Consider the following 22,326-nt stretch of genomic DNA (forward strand, 5'->3'; position numbering starts at 1 on the left):
AAACAGGGATGGTTTCCGTGACCTCGGCGGGATGCCGGAGGCTCAGAGCGGACCGTGAGACTGAGAGGCTCTGAACACGCCACAGGCTTTGCACATGTGAGTACGTCCACACGCCAGCCATGTTCTCACCTTCTCCAGGTGCACGGTAGGTGCTGTGTAAATTAACGACTTCATTCCACATTTCTGAGCTCCCATGCATCCCAGGGTAAAGGAGACCTGGTTCCCGCCCTCAGAGAACTCACAGTGGGAGACGCAAATTGTTAAGTGACAAAACAGCATGACAGGTGCCATAACCAGCTTGCCCTGAGCAGGATGGGGGCACAAGGAACCTCAGGGGATGGGGGCACAAGGAACCTCAAAGGGATGGGGATACAAGGAACCTCAGGGGATGGGGGCACAAAGAACCTGAGGGGACGGGGGCACAAAGAACCTGAGGGGATGGGGGCACAAGGAACCTGAGGGGATGGGGGCACAAGGAACCTCAGGGGATGTGGGCACAAGGAACCTCAGGGGATGGGGGCACAAGGAACCTGAGGGGATGGGGGCACAAGGAACCTCAGGGGATGGGGGCACAAGGAACCTGAGGGGATGGGGGCACAAGGAACCTGAGGGGATGTGGGCACAAAGAAGGGACAAAGAAGGGAGGCCAGTTTGCCCCCAGGAACTCAGGGAGGCTTCCTGGGAAAGGCTGCTCTAACGGCCCGGGGAGTCACCTCTGTGTGGGGCGCTGCAGGGAGGGGTGAGGGCAGACCCCACCTGCCAGTGAAGAGCAGGGAGTGGGAGGGGCAGGTGGAGAGGGAGAGAGTCAGGGTTTCTGATCCTCTGTGATGTTAAGTCTTTTCTCCTCTCTGTGACTCGGTTACCTCCTCTGGCAAATGGGTAGAAACTATTAGCTGTCTAACTGACTCACAGATTCCCGTGTGGATAACAGGTAGATAAAAAGCGCAACCAGGCCGGGCGCAGCAGCTCACGCCTGTAATCTCAGCACTTTGGGAGGCTGAGGTGGGAGGATGGCTTGAGCCCAGGAGTTCAAGACCAGCCTGGCCAACATGGGGAGAACCTGTCTCTAAAAAAAAATTTTTTAAAAATTAAAAAGTGCAATCCTACTTTGTGAGACACTAAAAACAGATTTAGTATGAGGAACCCACAAGGGGGAAGGGGAGAAAAAGCGATGAGCGTGGCAGCACACCAGCGTTGCACACACACGATCATATCCCAGCCTGCTCTCGGGTCAAAATTCACAAGCGTGACTGCCTTTTAGTGGAGGCCCAGAGAGGTTAAGAAACTTGCCCAAGGTCACACAGCTTGTCATGGGCAGATATGAAGTTGGAGTCCACGTGTTTGTCGCCCTCAGATATGAAGTTGGAGTCCACGTGTTTGTCGCACTCGGTTTCTTTTTTTTTTTTTTGAGACGGATTCTCGCTCTGTCGCCCAGGGTGGAGTGCAATGCCATGATCTCAGCTCACAGCAACCTCCGCCTCCCGGGTTCAAGGGATTCTCTGGCCTCAGCCTCCCAAGTAGCTGGGACTACAGGCGTCCACCGCCATGCCCACGCTAATTTTAGTATTTTTAGTAGAGACGGGGTTTCACCATGTTGGCCCGGATGGTCTCGAACTCCTGACCTCGTGATCCGCCCGCCTGGGCCTCCCAAAGTGCTGGGATTACAGGGGTGAGCCACCGCGCCCGGCCCCTAGGTTTCAGACAGCTTCAGGGAGGGCTTGAGAAAGAGGACTTTGGAGACAAAGGCCAGGGGTGACCTCCCTGCCAAGAGGAGCTGGTTTCTGGCCTCCAGGGGAATGCCCCATGTCTAAAGGCGTGCTGGCAGGGCCCCATCCTGGGCAGAGCAGTGCAGAATCCACAATGGCCCACCCAACCTCGTCCTGGCCAGGGCACTTACTGGCTGATTGCTTAAATCCCTTGGCAGAGTGGACGATGACATGAAGGAAGCCATAGAGTCCTGGAGACTCATCGTCTGCAAGAGAGAAAAGCCCCCAGGGCAGAGGGTGGTCAGCGGATCCCCTCAGCCTCCACCCCAGGCCGGCGGGAGGCAGACGGGGTATGAGACTCAGCTGAGTCTTGGTCCAACATCACCACCTGGTGGCCAGATGAAAAAGTTTCCGAAGGCCACGGCGGCCTTATATGTGAGCTGCCCGGGGTAGGGCTAGGGGGTCCTTCTCTCCTCCACTCAGCCTGGGGGGGTCCAGCACACCCACCATCCTGGCCCAGGGACTTAGTACCATTCCCCATGGGTACTGTCTCTCCCTCCAAATCCTGCCTATCCTGGCACTGAAAACTGACCAATATGATAAATCATTCTGCTAATGATTTATGTCGAGGAAAGCTTGCCTTCAGGACCCCGTTCACAAAGTGGACCCTTTCCCAGCACACAGGCAGCTAGAATACACCCACTCCGGTCAGTTCCCAGCCCTGATCACAGCTCCCCACTGCTCAAAACCCCCCCAGACTCCCGGGCTTACAGCATGAATTCCAAACTCCCTTGCTTGGGATTCAAGGCCTTTCAAGAGCTGGTCCCTGGAAACTTCCAGCCTCATTTCCCATACACCATTTTATCTACCGGGTCTGCTCTCTCATGAATATATTAACAGCACAATCTCAGTGCACCAGGGTGCCAGTTCTCCCAAGCCAGACAGAGGGGCCCAAGGAAAAGCTGGGGTCATCTGGGAACTCAGTAGACAGTCACCCCTACCCAAGCTGTGTCCTGGCCACTCAACAGTCTCAGCACAGCCGAGCAGGGATCAGCCATTTACAGCCACATGTCTGTCTGAGTCCTTACGGGAAGCCGGCCACGCTCTGAGGGCTGGGACCTGCCGGTTGGGCCACCTCTGGTTCCCGAGCTTACCGTCTTTATTGCTGGTGACAGGAATGTTGTGTACAGTCCTAAGCTTGAAACAGGATCCTGTGAGCACCTGGAGCTCCACTGAGCTCAGGACAAAGGCCTGGAGATCTGGAGGGAGAGCCGAGAGAGAAGGGAGCGTGGGCACTGGTCCACCAGGACCGGCTGCTCTTCCCTGGGGGCTGCTGCAGGAAGACGGCTTAATCCCTGGGGCAGACTTGGTCCTTGCGAGGGAGGGGGAAGGATTTGTGGACACAGCAGGACTGGTGTAGATGCTGCGAGAGGGGTCAGAGTAGGAGAATCTAACTGAAGAGGTTTGTGTGTGTGTGTGTGTGTGTGTGTGTGTGTGTGTGTGTGTGTGTGTGTGTGTGTGTGGTGTATGCGTTTTGTTTTCGTTTTTTTTTTAAACGGAGTCTCACTCTGTCGCCCAGGCTGGAGTGCAGTGCTGTGATCTCAGCTCACTGCAACCTCCGCCTCTCAGGTTCAAGGGATTCTCCTGCTTCAGCCTCCTGAGTAGCTGGGATTACAGGTGCCCACCACCACACCTGGCTAATTTTTGTGTTTTTAGTAGAGACGGGGTTTCACCACGTTGCCCAGGCTGATCTCAAACTCCTGACTGGGATTACAGGCGTAAGCCACCGTACCCAGCCTCTGTGTATGTGTGTATGTGTGTGTGTGTGTGTGTGTGTGTGTCTCTGTGTGTGTGTGTGTGAGAGAGAGAGAGAGGTAGAGAGAGAGAGAAAGCCCAGGCTGGGCTCTGGGTCCAGTCCCAGGACTAAATCATCATGTCTTTCAGCCAATCAGTTAGATTCTTTGGGTCTCAATTAATCCGTAACATCCTTAAACGCTCACCCTGGCACCTCTGAGGGTGACTGCGAGGGCCAAAGACGTGATACTGGACATGAAACGCTTAGAAATACAAAAGGCCCATCAATGCCACGGACATCATTGGGGAGCGTGGAAGAGGCAGGAATTTACCCTTCTTCTGTAGTTTCTGAATTGCTTCTCTCCACTCTGACCTCTCGTAGTCCGAGGACAGTAGGAACAGGTAACTCTGAAGAGAGGAGATAAGCATAAAGTGGGTGACCACAGTCAGGCAAAGCGTACTCCCAGATCCTGGGGACCCCAACAAAGCTCCTTTTATCTTTTTTTTTTTTTTTTTTTTGAGACAGAGTCTCGCTCTTGTTGCCCAGGCTCTAGTGCAATGGCAAAATCTCGGCTCACTGCAACCTCCACCTCCCGGGTTCACGCCAATCTCCTGCCTCAGCCTCCTGAGTAGCTGGGATTACAGGTGCCCACCACCACGCCCGGCTAATTTTTGTGTTTTTAGTAGAGACAGAGTTTTGCCATGTTGGCCAGGCTGGTCTCAAACTCTTGACCTCAGGTGATTCGCCTGCCTCAGCCTCCCAAAGTGCTGGGATGACAGGCATGAGCCACTGTGCCCGGCCCAAAGCTCCTCCTTATCCAGGCACAGCTGACCTTGCAGGAGGAGGCAGCTGGGGGTGGGTGGGTGAAGGGGGAGCTCCTTCCTGGGAAGCCAAGGTGACAGGAGCGGCTGTGCCAGGGACGGCCAGCAGAGGGCACTCATTCCACACGAGAGGGGAGAGCGAGTCAACAGCTGGAGCCATGGCAGCCTCCTCAGGAAGAGGGGGCCTGAGTTTCCGGTTCGTACAGGTCAGGGCCAGGAGCCACAGAGTGGGCTGCTCTGGACTAAGGAAGGGGCTGTCTTGGTCCCACCCCCACCCATCCTGACCTTTCCATTCCGATTGTGGATCCTGAACGGGATTGTGGGGGAGTTGAGCAGCAGCAGGAACTCATTCTCAAACATCTTCTTCTTCAGGCGCTCGATGGCCCGGCTCTGGCCTTTGTTGGCTTTCTGCAGGAGATGGGGACACAGAGGGTTCCCCTCACACTCGGGCCTTTCTCACGAGCAGCACTAAGCACGACACTCCACTGTGTGTTAACATGCTCTTTACATTTTCCGTATTTCGTGATGTTTTGACATCTTGTGGCAGGAGAGGCGGGTAGCTGGGTGAGAAACTGCTCCCCCACAGGGCTCACTAATTCCTAAGCCTGTCAGTGATGCCCTATGAGCACAGCTTTCATACACACACCCACTGATCCAGAGCCCATGTCCCCAACCACCTTCTCTACCTGACGCTCACTCGCCAAGCCAGCATCTCCTCTGCCCCACGTCACCCAGGGCCAGGGACCAGGTCACCAGAGACCACTCCTCTAGCCCAGGGCTGCCGACATAACGGAAGCCAGCTGGTGCCAAGCCCTTTCCCTGCCCTGTTTCTCCACAGAAAAGCTGTGGCCACACTTTCTTTCCATTCCTGCCTCCTGTTCAAAGCTGGCACCTCTCCACGTGGCCCTGGGCGGGGTGCTATGCCTCCTTCTCTTGAGAACCCTAAATAATACAAATATTACAGTAGTATTAACCTCTCTGTACTGTCACTCTGCTGCCTCTACACATTAAATCCTGGGTACAACAGAGACACCTGCTTAAAGAAACCTCAGACACCTTTCAGCCTGAAGCCCCACCTGCTAGCCTGGCACCAAGGCCCCCATGGCAGGGTTCCAGCCTCCCTGCCCGGCAGACAACCCACCAGGTCCCGTCGGCTCAGCCTCCCCCTCTCACCAGACATTCATCCTCTGCGGGCAGAGCCTGCTCCCTCAATGTTCCAAGTTTCTGTCTGTTTCGTAAAGGACCCCCTCCCTTTTATTAACCACCATTATGCTTCAAGTCTCAGCTCCCAAGGCCATCCTCAAGCTCCTCAGTTAGAATTCACCTCTATGGTGTTTTGTTCTTTTTAACCCACTGGACTGGCAAAATTGTAAAGAATGTTCACAGCCAGTGTTGTGACACTGTGGGGGACAGTCACCCTCACACACCGCAGGGGGAATGCCACCAGTCACAGCTTTTTCAGAGGTAAAAGCCTGTCAATTAAGCGCACACTCACCCTGCCCTGCCCATCCCACCTGGAGGGAACCTACTGCAGAGGCACCTGCGCAGTGATGTTTACTGTTGACTTGCCTGCTAAGAGCGAAGAATCAGAGACAATCCAAACACCCAAAAACATTTGTATGCAGCCAAGCGACAGAGCAGGAGGCAGTTGTTAAAAAGAATCTGATACTGCCAGGCGCGGTGGCTCACGCCTGTAATCCCAGCACTTTGGGAGGCCGAGGTGGGCGGATCGTTTGAGGTCAGGAGTTCGAGACCACCCTGGCCAACGTGGTGAAACTCCGTCTCTACTAAAAATGCAAAAACTACCGGGCGTGGTGGCGGGCGCCTGTAATCCCAGCTACTCGGGAGGCTGAGGCACGAGAATCGCTTGAACCCGGGAGGTGGAAGTTCCAGTGAGCCCAAATCTCACCAGTGCACTCCAGCCTGGGTGACAGAGCGAGACTCTACCTCAAAAAGAAAGAAAAAGAATCTGATACATCCAAAGGGCTCAAAGACCCACTGTGGAGTAAAATGCTGAAGTTGCAAAACAGCACGTGTAGTCTAGTCTCATTGGACACGCGGGCGCACACCAGCATAAGCAAAGAAGAGTTCAGAAGAATACACCTCAAACTGTCAGCAGTGGGAGGTGAGTGGCGACCAGCTTTACCCTGTACATGCTGGTACTACGAGCATTTCTCATTAAAACCAGCCAGTATTATATTGGGGATTAGAAAAAACATGAAAATTTAAAAAATTATTATCAAGAGAACAAGGCTGAGCACGGTGGCTCACACCTGTCATCCCAGCACTTTGGGAGGCCGGGGCGGGTGGATCATGAGGTCAGGAGTTTGAGACCAGCCTGGCTAACACGGTGAAACCCCGTCTCTACTAAAAATACAAAAAATTAGCCAGGCGTGGTGGCGGACGCCTTTATTCCCAGCTACTCAGGAGGCTGAGGTAGAAGAATTGCTTGAACCCGGGAGGTGGAGGTTGCAGTGAGCCGAGATTGTGCCACTGCACTCCAGCCTGGGCGACAGTGACAAAGTGAGACTCCATCTCAAAAAAAAACAAAAAACAAAAAACAAATCACTGCTTCTTCTGTGACTCAGAGGACGGCACCTGTGCCTCTCCAGTGACTCACATGTACCACACTCTGTGGTCAGCAAGGGGCGTGTCTGCTTCCTCCACTGGACAGGGATATACATGAGGCACCCGGCACACCCCAGGCAGCACAGCCAGTGGGGCTCACTGAGTGTTGACTGTTGACTCGACTGGGCACAAGGCCACGTCTGCACAGCTGGGGCAACGGGGAGGCAGCAAGCCTCCCAGGGGCGGGTGGGAAACAGGCACGCAGGATGCTCCTGGGCGGGCACTGTGGGCAGGGCCCAGCCGTTCAGGAGGGGGACAGCTGTGCTGGCGAGGAAGCCCTCTGGGCAGATGTACCACCAGTTGGACCCTCTGTCCTAGGACATCCCCCAGCCCTGAACACTCCTGGGGCTGTAATGGTGATCTTGCTTTCCCCTGTTCAAAGGGAGATGCTTGAGTTGAAAGGATCCTCAGAGAGGCCATCTGGTTATGTTTTCTTCAATAATTGTTTGTTTACTAAGTGCCTTTTTTTTTTTGAGATGGAGTCCCACTCACTCTGTTGCCCAGGCTGGAGTGCAGTGGCGTGATCTCGGCTCACTGCAACCTCCACCTCCCGGGTTCACACAATTCTTTTGCCTCAGCCTCCCATGTGGCTGGGATTACAGGCACCCACCACCACACCCGGCTAACTTTTGTATTTTTCATAGAGACGGGGCTTCATGATGTTGGCCAGGCTGGTCTTGAACTCCTGGCCTCAAGTGACCCACCCGTCTCAGCCTCCCAAAGTACTGGGATTACCGGTGTAAACCACCATGCTGGGCCCTAACCACCTGTTTTCTACGTGTCGAATATGAGGAACATGGAACAGAAGAAAATAGCGCTGTCCCTGGAGTTCAAATTCCAGTGGGGAAGAGAGGAGTCTGACAATGCAATTACAATTCAGTACCATTTAAGCAAAGCCACAGGTGAACAAAAAGCCACAGGATCTGGGGACAGGGCACCCAACCAAGACTGTGGTGGGCGTGGGTGTCAGAGAAGCTTCCCAGGGGTGGTGAGGCCTAAGCTGAACCTGAGAGGTGAGGAAAACAGACCAAGCTGACCAAACCGCTCCAGGCCCTTCCTCCACTCACAGGGATGCTCCTCCCGTGGTGCCTTCCTCTAGACACTGTTGTTACGTGAACTGAGGGCTATGCATGTTCCTCTAGACGCTGCTGTTATGTGAACTGAGGGCTATGCATGTTCCTCTAGACACTGTTGTTATGTGAACTGAGGGCTATGCATGTTCCTCCAGACACTGTTGTTATGTGAACTGAGGGCTATGCATGTTCCTCTAGACGCTGCTGTTATGTGAACTGAGGGCTATGCATGTTCCTCTAGACACTGTTGTTACGTGAACTGAGGGCTATGCATGTTCCTCTAGCACTGCTGTTACGTGAACTGAGGGCTATGCATGTTCCTCCAGACACTGTTGTTATGTGAACTGAGGGATATGCATGTTCCTCTAGACACTGTTGTTATGTGAACTGAGGGCTATGCATGTTCCTCTAGACACTGTTATGTGAACTGAGGGTTATGCATGTTCCTCTAGACACTGTTGTTATGTGAACTGAGGGCTATGCATGTTCCTCTAGACACTGTTGTTATGTGAACTGAGGGCTATACATGTTCCTCTAGACACTGCTATTATGTGAACTGAGGGCTATGCATGTTCCTCTAGACACTGTTGTTACGTGAACTGAGGGCTATGCATGTTCCTCTAGACGCTGTTGTTATGTGAACTGAGGGCTATGCATGTTCCTCTAGACACTGTTGTTATGTGAACTGAGGGCTATGCATGTTCCTCTAGACACTGTTATGTGAACTGAGGGCTATGCATGTTCCTCTAGATGCTGTTGTTACGTGAACTGAGGGCTATGCATGTTCCTCTAGATGCTGCTGTTATGTGAACTGAGGGCTATGCATGTTCCTCTAGACACTGTTGTTATGTGAACTGAGGGCTATGCATGTTCCTCTAGACGCTGTTGTTATGTGAACTGAGGGCTATGCATGTTCCTCTAGACACTGCTGTTATGTGAACTGAGGGCTATGCATGTTCCTCTAGACACTGTTGTTATGTGAACTGAGGGCTATGCATGTTCCTCTAGCACTGCTGTTACGTGAACTGAGGGCTATGCATGTTCCTCTAGACACTGTTGTTACGTGAACTGAGGGCTATACATGTTCCTCTAGACACTGCTGTTACGTGAACTGAGGGCTATGCATGTTCCTCTAGACACTGCTGTTACGTGAACTGAGGGCTATGCATGTTCCTCTAGACACTGTTGTTACGTGAACTGAGGGCTATACATGTTCCTCTAGACACTGCTGTTACGTGAACTGAGGGCTATGCATGTTCCTCTAGACACTGTTGTTACGTGAACTGAGGGCTATGCATGTTCCTCTAGACGCTGTTGTTATGTGAACTGAGGGCTATGCATGTTCCTCTAGACACTGTTGTTATGTGAACTGAGGGCTATGCATGTTCCTCTAGACACTGTTATGTGAACTGAGGGCTATGCATGTTGCTCTAGACACTGTTGTTACGTGAACTGAGGGCTATGCATGTTCCTCTAGACGCTGCTGTTATGTGAACTGAGGGCTATGCATGTTCCTCTAGACACTGTTGTTATGTGAACTGAGGGCTATGCATGTTCCTCCAGACACTGTTGTTATGTGAACTGAGGGCTATGCATGTTCCTCTAGACACTGCTGTTATGTGAACTGAGGGCTATGCATGTTCCTCTAGACACTGTTGTTACGTGAACTGAGGGCTATGCATGTTCCTCTAGCACTGCTGTTACGTGAACTGAGGGCTATGCATGTTCCTCCAGACACTGTTGTTATGTGAACTGAGGGCTATGCATGTTCCTCTAGACACTGTTGTTATGTGAACTGAGGGCTATGCATGTTCCTCTAGACACTGTTATGTGAACTGAGGGTTATGCATGTTCCTCTAGACACTGTTGTTATGTGAACTGAGGGCTATGCATGTTCCTCTAGACACTGTTGTTACGTGAACTGAGGGCTATACATGTTCCTCTAGACACTGTTGTTATGTGAACTGAGGGCTATGCATGTTCCTCTAGACACTGTTATGTGAACTGAGGGCTATGCATGTTCCTCTAGACACTGTTGTTACGTGAACTGAGGGCTATGCATGTTCCTCTAGACGCTGCTGTTATGTAAACTGAGGGCTATGCATGTTCCTCCAGACACTGTTGTTATGTGAACTGAGGGCTATGCATGTTCCTCCAGACGCTGTTGTTATGTGAACTGAGGGCTATGCATGTTCCTCTAGACACTGCTGTTATGTGAACTGAGGGCTATGCATGTTCCTCTAGACACTGTTGTTATGTGAACTGAGGGCTATGCATGTTCCTCTAGCACTGCTGTTACGTGAACTGAGGGCTATGCATGTTCCTCTAGACACTGTTGTTATGTGAACTGAGGGCTATGCATGTTCCTCTAGACACTGTTGTTATGTGAACTGAGGGCTATGCATGTTCCTCTAGACACTGCTGTTATGTGAACTGAGGGCTATGTATGTTCCTCTAGACACTGTTGTTATGTGAACTGAGGGCTATGCATGTTCCTCTAGACACTGTTGTTACGTGAACTGAGGGCTATACATGTTCCTCTAGACACTGCTGTTACGTGAACTGAGGGCTATGCATGTTCCTCTAGACACTGTTGTTATGTGAACTGAGGGCTATGCATGTTCCTCTAGACACTGTTGTTATGTGAACTGAGGGCTATGCATGTTCCTCTAGACACTGTTGTTACATGAACTGAGGGCTATGCATGTTCCTCTAGACACTGTTGTTATGTGAACTGAGGGCTATGCATGTTCCTCTAGACACTGCTGTTATGTGAACTGAGGGCTATGCATGTTCCTCTAGACACTGCTGTTACGTGAACTGAGGGCTATGCATGTTCCTCTAGACACTGCTGTTACGTGAACTGAGGGCTATGCATGTTCCTCTAGACACTGTTGTTACGTGAACTGAGGGCTATGCATGTTCCTCTAGACGCTGCTGTTACGTGAACTGAGGGCTATGCATGTTCCTCTAGACGCTGCTGTTACGTGAACTGAGGGCTATGCATGTTCCTCTAGACGCTGTTGTTATGTGAACTGAGGGCTATGCATGTTCCTCTAGACACTGCTGTTACGTGAACTGAGGGCTATGCATGTTCCTCTAGACACTGCTGTTACGTGAACTGAGGGCTATGCATGTTCCTCTAGACACTGTTGTTACGTGAACTGAGGGCTATGCATGTTCCTCTAGATGCTGCTGTTACGTGAACTGAGGGCTATGCATGTTCCTCTAGACGCTGCTGTTACGTGAACTGAGGGCTATGCATGTTCCTCTAGACGCTGTTGTTATGTGAACTGAGGGCTATGCATGTTCCTCTAGACGCTGTTGTTATGTGAACTGAGGGCTATGCATGTTCCTCTAGACGCTGTTGTTATGTGAACTGAGGGCTATGCATGTTCCTCTAGACACTGTTGTTATGTGAACTGAGGGCTATTCATGTTCCTCTAAACAGCACTTTGGCTGCATCCATGGGTACTGGTATGTAGTACACTCATTTCCAGACAGCACTAAACAGTTTGCAGTTCTCATTTTGAATTTTGATTTCCTCTTTACCTTGTCAGTTTGAACTTTCCAAACCAATGCTTTTTTTTTTTTTTTTTTTTTTTGAGACAGTCTCACTCTGTTGCTCAGGCTGGAGTGCAGCAGCGGAATCTCAGCTCAATGCAACCTCTGCCTCCCAGGTTCAAGCAATTCTCCTGTCTCAGCCTCCTGAGTAGCTGGGATTACAGGCGGAAGCCACCACGCCAGGCTAATTTTGTATTTTCAGTAGAAATGGGGTTTCACCATGTTGGCCAGGCTGGTCTCAAACTCCTGACCTCAGGTGACCTGCCTGCCTGGGCCTCCTAAAGTGCTGGGATTACAGGCATGATCCACCACGCCTGGATAATTTTGTATTTTTAGTAGAGATGGATTTTTACCATGTTGGCCAGGCTGATCTTGAATTCCTGACCTCAGGCGATCCACCATCCTCAGCCTCCCAAAGTTCTGGGATTAAAGGTGTGAGCCACTGCACCCAGGCTGACCAATATTCTTGTTCACTTCTAATTTTACTCCACTGTGGTCTGTGAACATGACTTGTATGCTATCAACTTGCAGAAAAATTTTGAGATTTCCTTAGTGGCCTATTATAGGATAAATGTGAAGGTCCCAAACGTGTGTGACAAGAATCTCAGTTTTCTGTCAGGGCACAAGCTTCTCTGCATTTTTAAGTCAAGCATGTTAATTGTGGCATTCAGGTCCTCTCTCTCCTTATTTATTTGCCTACTTGATCTGTCAGTTTCTGAGAGGCCTCCCAGGTCCTTTTCCTTGCACAGGTCCTGCTTTTCCTTACAAAAGCCTGCTTTTTCTTCTCTTGCTTCCCTCTACCTCCACTTTTTTTTTTTGTTTTTGACAGAATCTCACTCTATTGCCTAGACTGGAGTGCATTGGCATGTTCTTGGCTCACTGCAACCTCCACCTCCCGGGTTCAAGCCATTCTACTGCCTCAGCCTCCCGAGTAGCTGGGATTACAGGTGCCCACCACCACACTCTGCTAATTTTTGTACTTTTAGTAGAGACAGGGTTTTGCCATGTTGGCCAGGCTGGTCTCGAACTCCTGGCCTCAGGTGATCCACCTGCCTCGGCCTTCCAAAGTGCTGGGATTACAGGTGTGAGCCACTGCGCCTGGCTACTTGCTTCCCCTTTCTATCGTGTTCAACATGCACTGCTTTCCAGGGCACTTCCCATGTTAGCCCTATGAAATCCTGAGCACTGACCCCCTCGATCTGCTTGGAGCTACTGTAGTCGGGGTCTTTCCCTTAGTAACTACACACTCAAGGCTCCCTCTCAAAGTCTCAAACCTTACAACTTCCTGCCTCCACCTCCCCCAACACAGCTGGCTCAAAGGGCCCCAGGCTCAGATACCAAGCTCTGCTCACCTCCTTCTGGATTTCACTCTTGAGGGCAGAGATCTTCATCTTCATGTCCTCCAGCTCATGGTCTGGGAAGGGGTGCACCTGGGGGCTGGCCTCAGACTCCTCGGGGGATGGAAACACCAGGTCGGCCAGGGGGATGTACCACTTACAGTCATACTGCTGGTGCTTCCTGCAAACGAGCCAGAGGGAGCCATGAGCCAGAGGGAGCCTGGCTCTTCCAGCCTCAACTCTTGGGTCCAGAACCACAGAACCACTGACAGGGGTTGACTGAGAACTCGCCAGAAGCAAGAACGATCCCTGCTCCTGAGGAGCCTGATTGGGAAACACACACTGGAGTGATGAAAGCTGGGTTCTGGGGTCCGCCCCGCCCGCAGGGAGCAACTCCGCCCCTTCACCTTACCAGGCTTCTGGCCCAGATGACTCATGTTGTCAAACATCCCAAACCACTTAGGTATCAAGAAGAGCGAAGCCTTCCTGGCTGGGCTCACATTTTCCTATTCCCCACCACAATCCCCTCCCTCCCTTCTAGACTATCCGTGTTCAATATCCTTCAGGCTAGCAATGGAATACAGGTGTTATTCCAAATGCCACCTCTTATCAAGAGTGGTCACATGGGTCAACACTGGGTGGAGGATTACAAAGCCACATCCAAGTCTAGCAAGAAAGTGTGCCCTAGTTGATTAGTGATGTCTGCCATGGCAAAGGACAGCAGGCAGAGGCATATGTGATTAGTAATGTCTGCCATCGCAAAGGACGACAGGCAGAAGCATGTGTGCTTATTATTGCCATCTCTGCCTCAGAACTATCTCAAACATGATCTAGTTCCAGGGAGTCATGTCCTTTATTATTATTATTTTTTAAATTATTTTTATTTTGTGAGATGGAGTTTTGCTCTTGTTCCCAGGCTGGAGTGCAATGGCGCGATCTCCACTCACTCCAACCTCTGCCTCCAGGGTTCAAGCGATTCTCCCACCTCATTCTCCCAAGTAGCTGGGATTATAGGTGCCTGCCATCACACCCAGCTAATTTTTGTACTTTCAGTAGAGACGGAGTTTTGCCATGTTGGCCAGGCTGGTCTCAAACTCCTGACCTCAGGTGATCCACCCGCCTTGGCCTCCCAAAGTGCTGGGATTACAGGCATAAGCCACCGTGCCCGCCCAGTCATCCCTTTATTGACGTTCATAATCATCGATCCTTCCCCTAGGACTTAGATTTGCACTTCTCATTCTGACCCTTGAGTGTTGAGGTGGGCGTGGGGCTTGCTCCCCCTGAGCTATACTTGGGGGCACAGCCAGCCAGGGAGGGCTGAAGGGAGAGGTAGGATAGCCTGGTGGTGTAACACACTGGCTGTGGAGTCCCCTGTGCTGTACTTGGGGGCACAGCCAACCAGGGAGGGCTGAAGGGAGAGGCAAGATAGCCTGATGGTAAACGAGTCCCACAGACACGGGTTTGAATCCAGACTGCCGCTTCTCAGCCGTGAGAAGGGGTGTGCTTGGCACACTGCAGTTGATCACTAAGTGTGGGTGGAAGAATGTGTGAATGAACGCAGAATGAGCCTCTGCTCAAGGCACAGAGCAGACCCACACTCCCGGGTAGAGAGAAGGAGGCTCAAAGGAGCTTGCACATCAGCTTGGGGTTCCAGTCCCACCCTCCCGGGTAGAGAGAAGGAGGCTCAAAGGAGTTTGCACGTCAGCTTGGGGTTCCAGTCCCACCTGTGCCTCTAGCTGTGCGAGCTTGGGCTGCTTATTTACCTTCTCCAAGACTCCTCTCTCATCTATGATTAGGGAACAACAGTCGCTACTTTGTGGAGGTGTTGGGAGGACTAGAAATCATGTATTCAAAGCATGTGTCACGGCACCTGGCATGGCATAAACCCTCAATAAATAGTAGCAGGAGACGTGGTGAATATTCACAGCACTGCAGTTAGCAGAAATTCAGAGATGTCTAATAAAAGGAGAATGCTTAAGTAGACGATGGCACATCTACGGGTAACATCGTGCAGGAAAGTAAAAGGATGATTATGAAGATGAGGCAGCAACAGGGAAAATGCTTATGACACGAAACAGAAACAGCAGAGCCCCAAATTGGGCATTCACAGTGATTACGACTGTGTGAAGAAACATGAGAACATTTAAAAACAGGGAAGGAAGCAGCGCGGCAGGAGTCGGACCTCATGCTTCAGTGGGGGACGGGGTTTCCTCCAATGGCCTTATATTATCTTTATAATTAAAAACATGACTTACTTTCAGGAAAAAAGGCTATGTAGTGAAATTAAGTTAATTAATATAGTTTTTAAAAGGAAAAAACCGGCCAGGCGCGGTGGCTCATGCCTGTAATCCCAGCACTTTGGGAGGCCGAGGCGGGCAGATCACCTGAGGTTGGGAGTTTGAGATCAGCCTGGCCAACATGGCAAAACCCCGTCTCTACTAAAAATACAAAAATTAGCCAGACATGGTGGCATGGTGGCGTGCACCTGTAATCCCAGCTACTCAGGAGGCTGAGGCAGGAAAATCGCTTGAACCCGGGAGGCAGAGGTTGCAGTGAGCCGAGATCGCACCACTGCACTCCAGCCTGGGCAACAGAGCAAGACCCTGTCTCAAAAGAAAAAAAACCAACAAAGTTGCTGAAGGCTCCATGGGTGGCAGGGTCCGGCCTCCCTCCCCCGCCCTGTGCCACTGGACTCACACACTCACCCCGCAGAGGTCAGGACCCCCTCCCCCGCCCCTGGACTCACACACTCACCTCGCAGAGGTCCGGACCCCCTCCCCCGCCCCTGGACTCGCACACTCACCCCGCAGAGGTCAGGACCCCCTCCCCCGCCCCGGACTCGCACACTCACCCCGCAGAGGTCCGGACCCCCTCCCCCGCCCCGTGCCCCTGGACTCACACACTCACCCTGCAGAGGTCTTCTTCAGCTTGGCACACAGTAGGACATCTGTAAAGAGGAAGACGTGCCGCAGCTTCCGGGAGCTCTCTGACACTTCCACCAGGAAGCCGTCCTTCACCAGCTGTCGCGTCTGAGGGAGATGGCAGACCCCCCAGCCTGCTCAGAGGGGAATGCGGCCGAGGGCAGAGCCTGCACACGGGGGCACGGCCAGCCAGGGAGGACTGGACCGAGAGGCGGCATAGCCTGTCATCCCTTAACCAAAGGTGGTTCAAGCACTGCCTTTGGAGTCACATGGGCATGGGTTTGAATGCCAACAGGCTTCTCAGCTGTGATCTCAGACAGGCTCCCTGACCTCTCTGAATCCCAGATTCACCTTCTGTTAAGTGCGGACAGTGAGGTCTGCCTCATAAGGTGACTCATCGAGATGGTGCATGTGAAACAGCACAGTGCCTGGCACATTAAGTGTGTGCAACGCACGGGGCTCTCCGCGGCTAACCCTGGAGCCCCCTGCCCGGGACGACCTGGTTTCTCCACCCTGGGGCACGAACATCCCCGTTTGCAATCCCTCCCGACCGCGGCGGCGAACTTCATCTAGCCCCGGCTCAACCGAGACCCGAGACCCGAGACCCACTCAGGCCTGTCTGTGCTACTCCTCCCTGGCTTCTCCAGCCCCCTGGGGATGAGACCTGGGCCCTCCAGCCTGGGACTGCAGCAGTGCCCAGAGGGGACCTGCAGCCAACTCTAACCTGGGCTCTGGGTGGTTTCTGCTCCACGTGGGAGTTCCAGAGTTTCCAACCCCCGCTCAGAGCCGGGGGGTCGTCCCCATCTGTGCCAGCCTTTCCTGTATGATACACGGTGTGACCTACATCTGCTGTAATACGTAGGTGAGCGTATTCAAAGTATACAATTAAGATGACCGAGGCCGGGCGCAGTGGTTCACACCTGTCATCCCAGCAATTTGGGAGGCTGAGGCGGGTGGATCACCTGAGGTCAGGAGTTTGAGACCAGCCTGGCCAACGTGGCGAAACCCCGTCTCTACTAAAAATACAAAAACTAGCCAGACATGGTGACGCCTGCCTGTAATCTCAGCTACTTGGGAGGATGAGGCAGGAGAATTGCTTGAACCCAGAGGGTGGAGGCTGCAGTGGAGCTGAGGTCACGCCATTGCACTCCAGCCTGGACGATGGAATGAGATTCAGTCTCAAAAAAAGGATGACTGAAAACGGAGGGTACGCTAAGCCCTCTGGAGATTTTTCAGATATCCCCAGAGTAAAACAGACGACGGGATCCCCAGACGCTGCACATCAGCACCAGGAGCCGCACGGAATCGGCTCTCTCTGCCCAGTGGACACTGTCCAGGCCTGTCCCTCACCACTTTCTCCCCAGGAGACCCTGGGGGCTCGTAAACAGACCACAGGAGCAGACACCCTGTCAGCCTCACTCGTAACGGCCGCCTAATGGCCTCCCCTGGACAGGAAGCCTTTCACCCGGGCCCGGCTGCCAATCCACGAAGGCAACTGTCCCTCTCATGCTTCCTGGTACTCCCCTTGCTGGGCTGTCCCCACCCTTGCATCAAGAAGGGCCCCCAGGGAACGGCTGTCCCACATGCAGGTGCCCACTGGACATTCCGGCAACCTGGACGGCCTCCACCACCTCCAACGCCAGCCTTTCCTGCTGTGGGCTCCCCGCAAGCCACTGCGTGTGCAGGCCGAGCTGAAGCAGCTCCAAGCTCCTGCTCCCTTCGCTTCCTAGGAGACCCTGACGGCATCACACTGGCCAGAGGCAGGTGTCTGCATTCAAGAATGAGGCACCCGGAGGCCACTTCCCCGGCGTGGGCCTCCAGACAGTCCCAGGTGAGGAATCCAGCTCTGACACCAGTGGCTGAAAGACTGCGTGGTGGACCTGGAGAGACTCCCCAGCCTCAGGTTCTTCTGGCTCACTGGATTGTTATTATTATTTCTGAGATGGAGTCTCACTCTGTCACCCAGGCTGGAGTGCAGTGGTGCGATCTCGGCTCACTGTAACCTCCGCCTCCTGGGTTCAAGCAATTCTCCTGCCTCAGCCTCCTGAGTAGCTGGCACTACAGGCATCCGCCACCACGCCCAGCTAATTTTTGTATTTTTAGTAAAGACGGGGCTTCACCATGTTGGCCAGGCTGGTCTCAAACTTCTAACTCAAGTGATCCACCTGCCTCAGCCTCCCAAAGTGCTGGGATTACAGGTGTGAGCCACCGTGCCCGGCCTCCCTAGATTATTATGAGGATTAATGAGACACTGGACTTAAACTTCTCAGCCTAGGGCCTGGAAAGCTGCAGGTCATCAGGGTGACCAAGGGCTGAAAACCTCTCCTTGGCTGGGAATGGGGGATCAGGATTGGAGAGGCAGGAGGCACCCGGTGCCGCCCGTGTGTGAGAGAAGGGGACGAGGGACCTGCCGCCCGTGTGTGAGAGAAGGGGACGAGGGACCTGCCGCCCGTGTGTGAGAGAAGGGGACGAGGGACCTGCCGCCCGTGTGTGAGAGAAGGGGACGAGGGACCTGCCGCCCGTGTGTGAGAGAAGGGGACGAGGGACCTGCCGCCCGTGTGTGAGAGAAGGGGACGAGGGACCTGATACTTCTCAGCCTGGGTGAGGGGCCGTGCCGGGCTCTGAGCTCACCTCCCCCTTGGGCGTTGTCACTGCAGTCCGGCGGGGGTCGATGTCCTCGTTGATGCTGGACAGGAAGTTCTGGGAGATGCGGAGGGCATCCTGCAGCAGCGGGTAGTCGGGGTGGTCCACAGGTGTGTGCTTCAGCAGGTCCTGGGAAGGGTGAGGCGGTGAGTTGAGGGGAGCGGCTCTGGGGCCTGATGTGTGGCCACCGGGGAGTGCTCAGTCCCCATCCAAAGGGTGGGCACTCAGGGACCTGCCTAATTCCCGCAAAATCTGAACTACAAATCAGAGTCAGGCCGGGCACGGCGGCTCATGCCTGAAATCCCAGCACTTTGGGAGGCCGAGGCGGGGGATCTCTTGAGGTCAGAAGTTCGAGACCAGCCTGGGCAACGTGGTGAAACCCCATCTCTAGTAAAAATATAAAAATTAGCTGGGCGTGGTGGCGGGCGCCTGTAGTCCCAGCTACTCGGGAGGCTGAGGCAGGAGAATTGCTTGAACCCAGGAGGCAGAGGTTGCAGTGAGCCGAGATCGCACCACTGCACTCCAGCCTGGGTGACAGAGTGAGACTCCGCCTCAAAAAAAAAAAAAAAAAAAAAAAATCAGAGCCAGCACAGCAGGGGAGAGGGCCCTGGCTGCCCCCTCTTCTCCTGGCCACAGTCATACTCTCTCCCCAGTGTGGAGACCAGGTGGAGGCTCATCCCCCCGAGCAGCTGGGAGAGAAACCCTGTGTCTGCCCTGCAGCTGCTCCAAGGACACTGGAGACCAGGAGGCAGCGGGTGGGGAAGCAGGAATGCCTGCCTCCCCGGGAGCACCTGGCCACGTCAAGCTTAGTAGCCAAGCTGTATTCAGGCCCTAGCCTGGCGGCATGGATACCGCGGGCCAGACAGGCATCCTTGGAGCCTAGGAACCCCTGATTCCCCAGGTGGACTGTTCTCGGTGACTCCAGCACCCTCTCACCCAGGCTCAGTCTTCCACTGAACTCCTAAGCCCTCTCTGGCCATTCGGAGGCTTGACACTCACGTGTAGGACTAGGGTGCTCCGAGTGACCCGGTCAATGGGCTTGTAGAGCAGAGCTGTCGGGGGAGACAGGGAGAAGGAGGAAGAGGATGATGGACGAGGGCAACCCAACACCCCAGAGACCAGCTTCGTCCCCCCACCCGCATGCTTCCCACGTGAACACCCCTCGAGGGACACCAGAGTGAGCCCACGGCAGCCCCCACCTCTGTTCTCACTCCCCGGGCCGACCAAACAGCAGACACAGGTGACACACAGCCCTGGCAGCCCCTGCTCCCTCCGCAGCCCTGCCTCCTCTCCCATCAGACATGGCTTCATCGAGAGCCGCCCCGCCCCCCTCCCCAGGCCTGTCCTGGCCTCACCTGGCTCAAGGCAGATGCTCTCCTGGACCCCCAGCCCTGAATCACACAGCTCCACCCAGCCACGCCCCGAAGAGTCCAGCACACCTGCCACACGCAGGACCCCAGAATCACACAGCTCCACCCAGCCACGCCCCGAAGAGTCCAGCACACCTGCCACACGCAGGACCCCAGAATCACACAGCTCCACCCAGCCACGCCCCGCAGAGTCTAGCACACCTGCCACACGCAGGACCCCAGAATCACACAGCTCCACCCAGCCACGCCCCGTAGAGTCCAGCACACCTGCCACACGCAGAACCCCAGAATCACACAGCTCCACCCAGCCATGCCCTGCAGAGTCTAGCACACCTGCCACATGCAGGACCCCAGAATCACACAGCTCCACCCAGCCACGCCCCGCAGAGTCCAGCATACCTGCCACACGCAGAACCCCAGAATCACACAGCTCCACCCAGCCATGCCCTGCAGAGTCTAGCACACCTGCCACATGCAGGACCCCAGAATGGGGGAAGGAGACATGCTGTGTTTCCAGGAAGGGCAGCTCTCCAGACCTTATCATTCTCAGGCTCCTGGAGCTGAAGGCCAGGCACAGCCAGCTGGGATTGGCATGCCTCACTGTGATCCACAGGACTGGCCTCATCTCTCAGAGGAAAGACCCCTCCCCACATCCTCAAACCCCAGATAGCAAAGCACAGGAAGGCTGGAGGCAGGGAGGCTGGAGGCCAGGAGGCTGGCCTGATCTCCACAGAAAGGCTCTGCTCCCCGAGGCCAGCCTGGCCAACCAGTGAAACCCCATCTCTATTAAAAATACAAAAATTAGCCAGGCGTGGTGGCACATGCCTGTAATCCCAGCTATTTGGGAGGCTGAGGCAGGGAAATCACTTGAACCCGGGAGGCGGAAGTTGTAGCGAGCCAAGATCATGCCACTGCACTCCAGCCTGGGTAACAAGAGCAAAACTCCATCTCAAAAAAAAAGAAAAAAGGCTGTGCTCTCAAACACGTGGCAGCCTGAGGGGCAAAGGTTTCCTGAAGCAACTCAGGTTAGGCCTCACATATGAGAGCCCCAAAGAGGCTGGGAGGACGCAGGCAAGGCCAGCCCAGGCCCCCAAGAGCCACACCCTCCACAACCCGGACACCAAGTGAGGATGGCTGGGATTCAGCAGGGACAGGTGGAGGTGGCAGCTGGTGGATCAACACTTCCCAACACCCTTCCTGTACGCGGCTGCGCCCACCCTCCCAACAGGAGGCTCAGCTTCAGTCCTGCACCTGGATGCTCTGTCCCTGGGGTCATGACCTTGGGCCTCCTGCCGCAGGGGCAGTGACAGAGGCAGGTTGGTCATCTGGGAAGAAGGATCCCAGACTGGGTGTCCCATAAGACCAGGTTGTGACAGGTCCCAGCGTGAACACGCACGCCCTAGCCGGGCCCCAAACCTGATAGTTCTCCAAAGCCTGAGATATAAATACCCCGTGCGCGGCTAAGCAGACACTTCAGGGAGCAATCTGCTGGCTGTGAAGAAAATGCAGCCTCAGCAGGGCCACCAGCCTTACCCGCAGTCCGAGCTTGGCTGCCTGTCGGAATCACTGGGGGAGCGGTTAAAAGATACAGATGCTGCTCCCCAGCCCCGTCAACTCAACCCAAATCTCTGCAAGACCACAAGGGCCATCAGCATTTCTATAAAGCTTCTTTACTGATTTGAATGTATAATAATGGTTGAAAACCACTGCTTTATGTTTTATTTATGTATTTATTTTAATTTTTTTAAAAATATAGAGACGAGGGGCCGGGCAGGGTGGCTCACGCCTGTAATCCCAGCACTTTGGGAGGCCGAAGCGGGTGGATCATTTGAGGTCAGGAGTTCAAGAACAGCCTGGCCAACATGGTGAAACCCCATCTCTACTAAAAATACAAAAATTAGCCAGGTGTGGTGGCAGGCGCCTATAATCCCAACTACTTGGGAGGCTGAGGCAGGGGAATCTCTTGAATCCAGGAGGCAGAGGTTGCAGTGAGCTGAGATTGCGCCATTGCACTCCAGCCTGGGCGACACAGTGAGTCTTCGTTTAAATAAAAATAAATATAGAGACAAGGTCTCACTATGTTGCTGGTCTCGAACTCCTGGCCTCAAGCCAAATACAAGCTGGTCTCGAACTCCTGGCCTCAAGCAATCCTCCTGCCTCAGTCTGCCAAAAGTTGGGATTACAGGCATGAGTACCCGGCCAACCACTGGTTTACGTAAATACACTTCATATGACATATCTGTAGCCCTTTCTTATCTAGCAGTTTCCAGAGACCCTCCCCATGGGCCATGGAAGCTTGAAGGAATGAGGCCAGTCTTGGGGTATCCTCGGCACTGAGGGTGCAGCCCAGGTCCTAGCTCAGGTGGGATCCATTTCTGAGGCTGTTTAAGGCACCCACCTGTGGCTCAGCCCATCTTCAGGGGGAAAAAATCACACTGGAGAACCCCAGAGACCCAAAAGAAAGCACA

General features: G+C 53.7%; 1 protein-coding gene across 6 annotated transcripts in view, besides 3 other annotated features; it reads right to left on the reverse strand.

Annotated features, from left to right (window-relative positions):
* Nucleotides 1–22,326, reverse strand: part of ABR (ABR activator of RhoGEF and GTPase) — a 226,204-nt gene that overhangs the window by 50,619 nt on the left and 153,259 nt on the right. For all 6 annotated transcript variants that reach the window (NM_001322841.2, NM_001159746.3, NM_021962.5 and 3 more), the window contains 8 exons: nucleotides 19,488–19,540; nucleotides 18,477–18,617; nucleotides 15,832–15,953; nucleotides 12,940–13,105; nucleotides 4,608–4,730; nucleotides 3,833–3,908; nucleotides 2,861–2,965; nucleotides 1,898–1,972 (listed from right to left, as the gene is read on the reverse strand). In NM_001322841.2, the coding sequence (NP_001309770.1) occupies nucleotides 1,898–1,972; nucleotides 2,861–2,965; nucleotides 3,833–3,908; nucleotides 4,608–4,730; nucleotides 12,940–13,105; nucleotides 15,832–15,953; nucleotides 18,477–18,617; nucleotides 19,488–19,540 (861 nt within the window). The remainder of the gene's footprint in view (nucleotides 1–1,897; nucleotides 1,973–2,860; nucleotides 2,966–3,832; nucleotides 3,909–4,607; nucleotides 4,731–12,939; nucleotides 13,106–15,831; nucleotides 15,954–18,476; nucleotides 18,618–19,487; nucleotides 19,541–22,326) is intronic.
* Nucleotides 7,880–8,503: an enhancer, noted in NCBI's record as "OCT4-NANOG-H3K27ac hESC enhancer chr17:965257-965880 (GRCh37/hg19 assembly coordinates)". NCBI's record gives its function as "activates a minimal SCP1, AML or CMV promoter by ChIP-STARR-seq in primed H9 embryonic stem cells {active_cell/tissue: H9 hESC(primed)}" and the evidence as "EXISTENCE:reporter gene assay evidence [ECO:0000049][PMID:30033119]".
* Nucleotides 15,695–16,195: an enhancer, noted in NCBI's record as "H3K4me1 hESC enhancer chr17:973072-973572 (GRCh37/hg19 assembly coordinates)". NCBI's record gives its function as "activates a minimal SCP1, AML or CMV promoter by ChIP-STARR-seq in primed H9 embryonic stem cells {active_cell/tissue: H9 hESC(primed)}" and the evidence as "EXISTENCE:reporter gene assay evidence [ECO:0000049][PMID:30033119]".
* Nucleotides 16,196–16,696: an enhancer, noted in NCBI's record as "H3K4me1 hESC enhancer chr17:973573-974073 (GRCh37/hg19 assembly coordinates)". NCBI's record gives its function as "activates a minimal SCP1, AML or CMV promoter by ChIP-STARR-seq in primed H9 embryonic stem cells {active_cell/tissue: H9 hESC(primed)}" and the evidence as "EXISTENCE:reporter gene assay evidence [ECO:0000049][PMID:30033119]".

Source organism: Homo sapiens, chromosome 17, assembly GCF_000001405.40.
Source record: "Homo sapiens chromosome 17, GRCh38.p14 Primary Assembly".
In the NCBI taxonomy this organism is placed as follows: domain Eukaryota; kingdom Metazoa; phylum Chordata; class Mammalia; order Primates; family Hominidae; genus Homo; species Homo sapiens.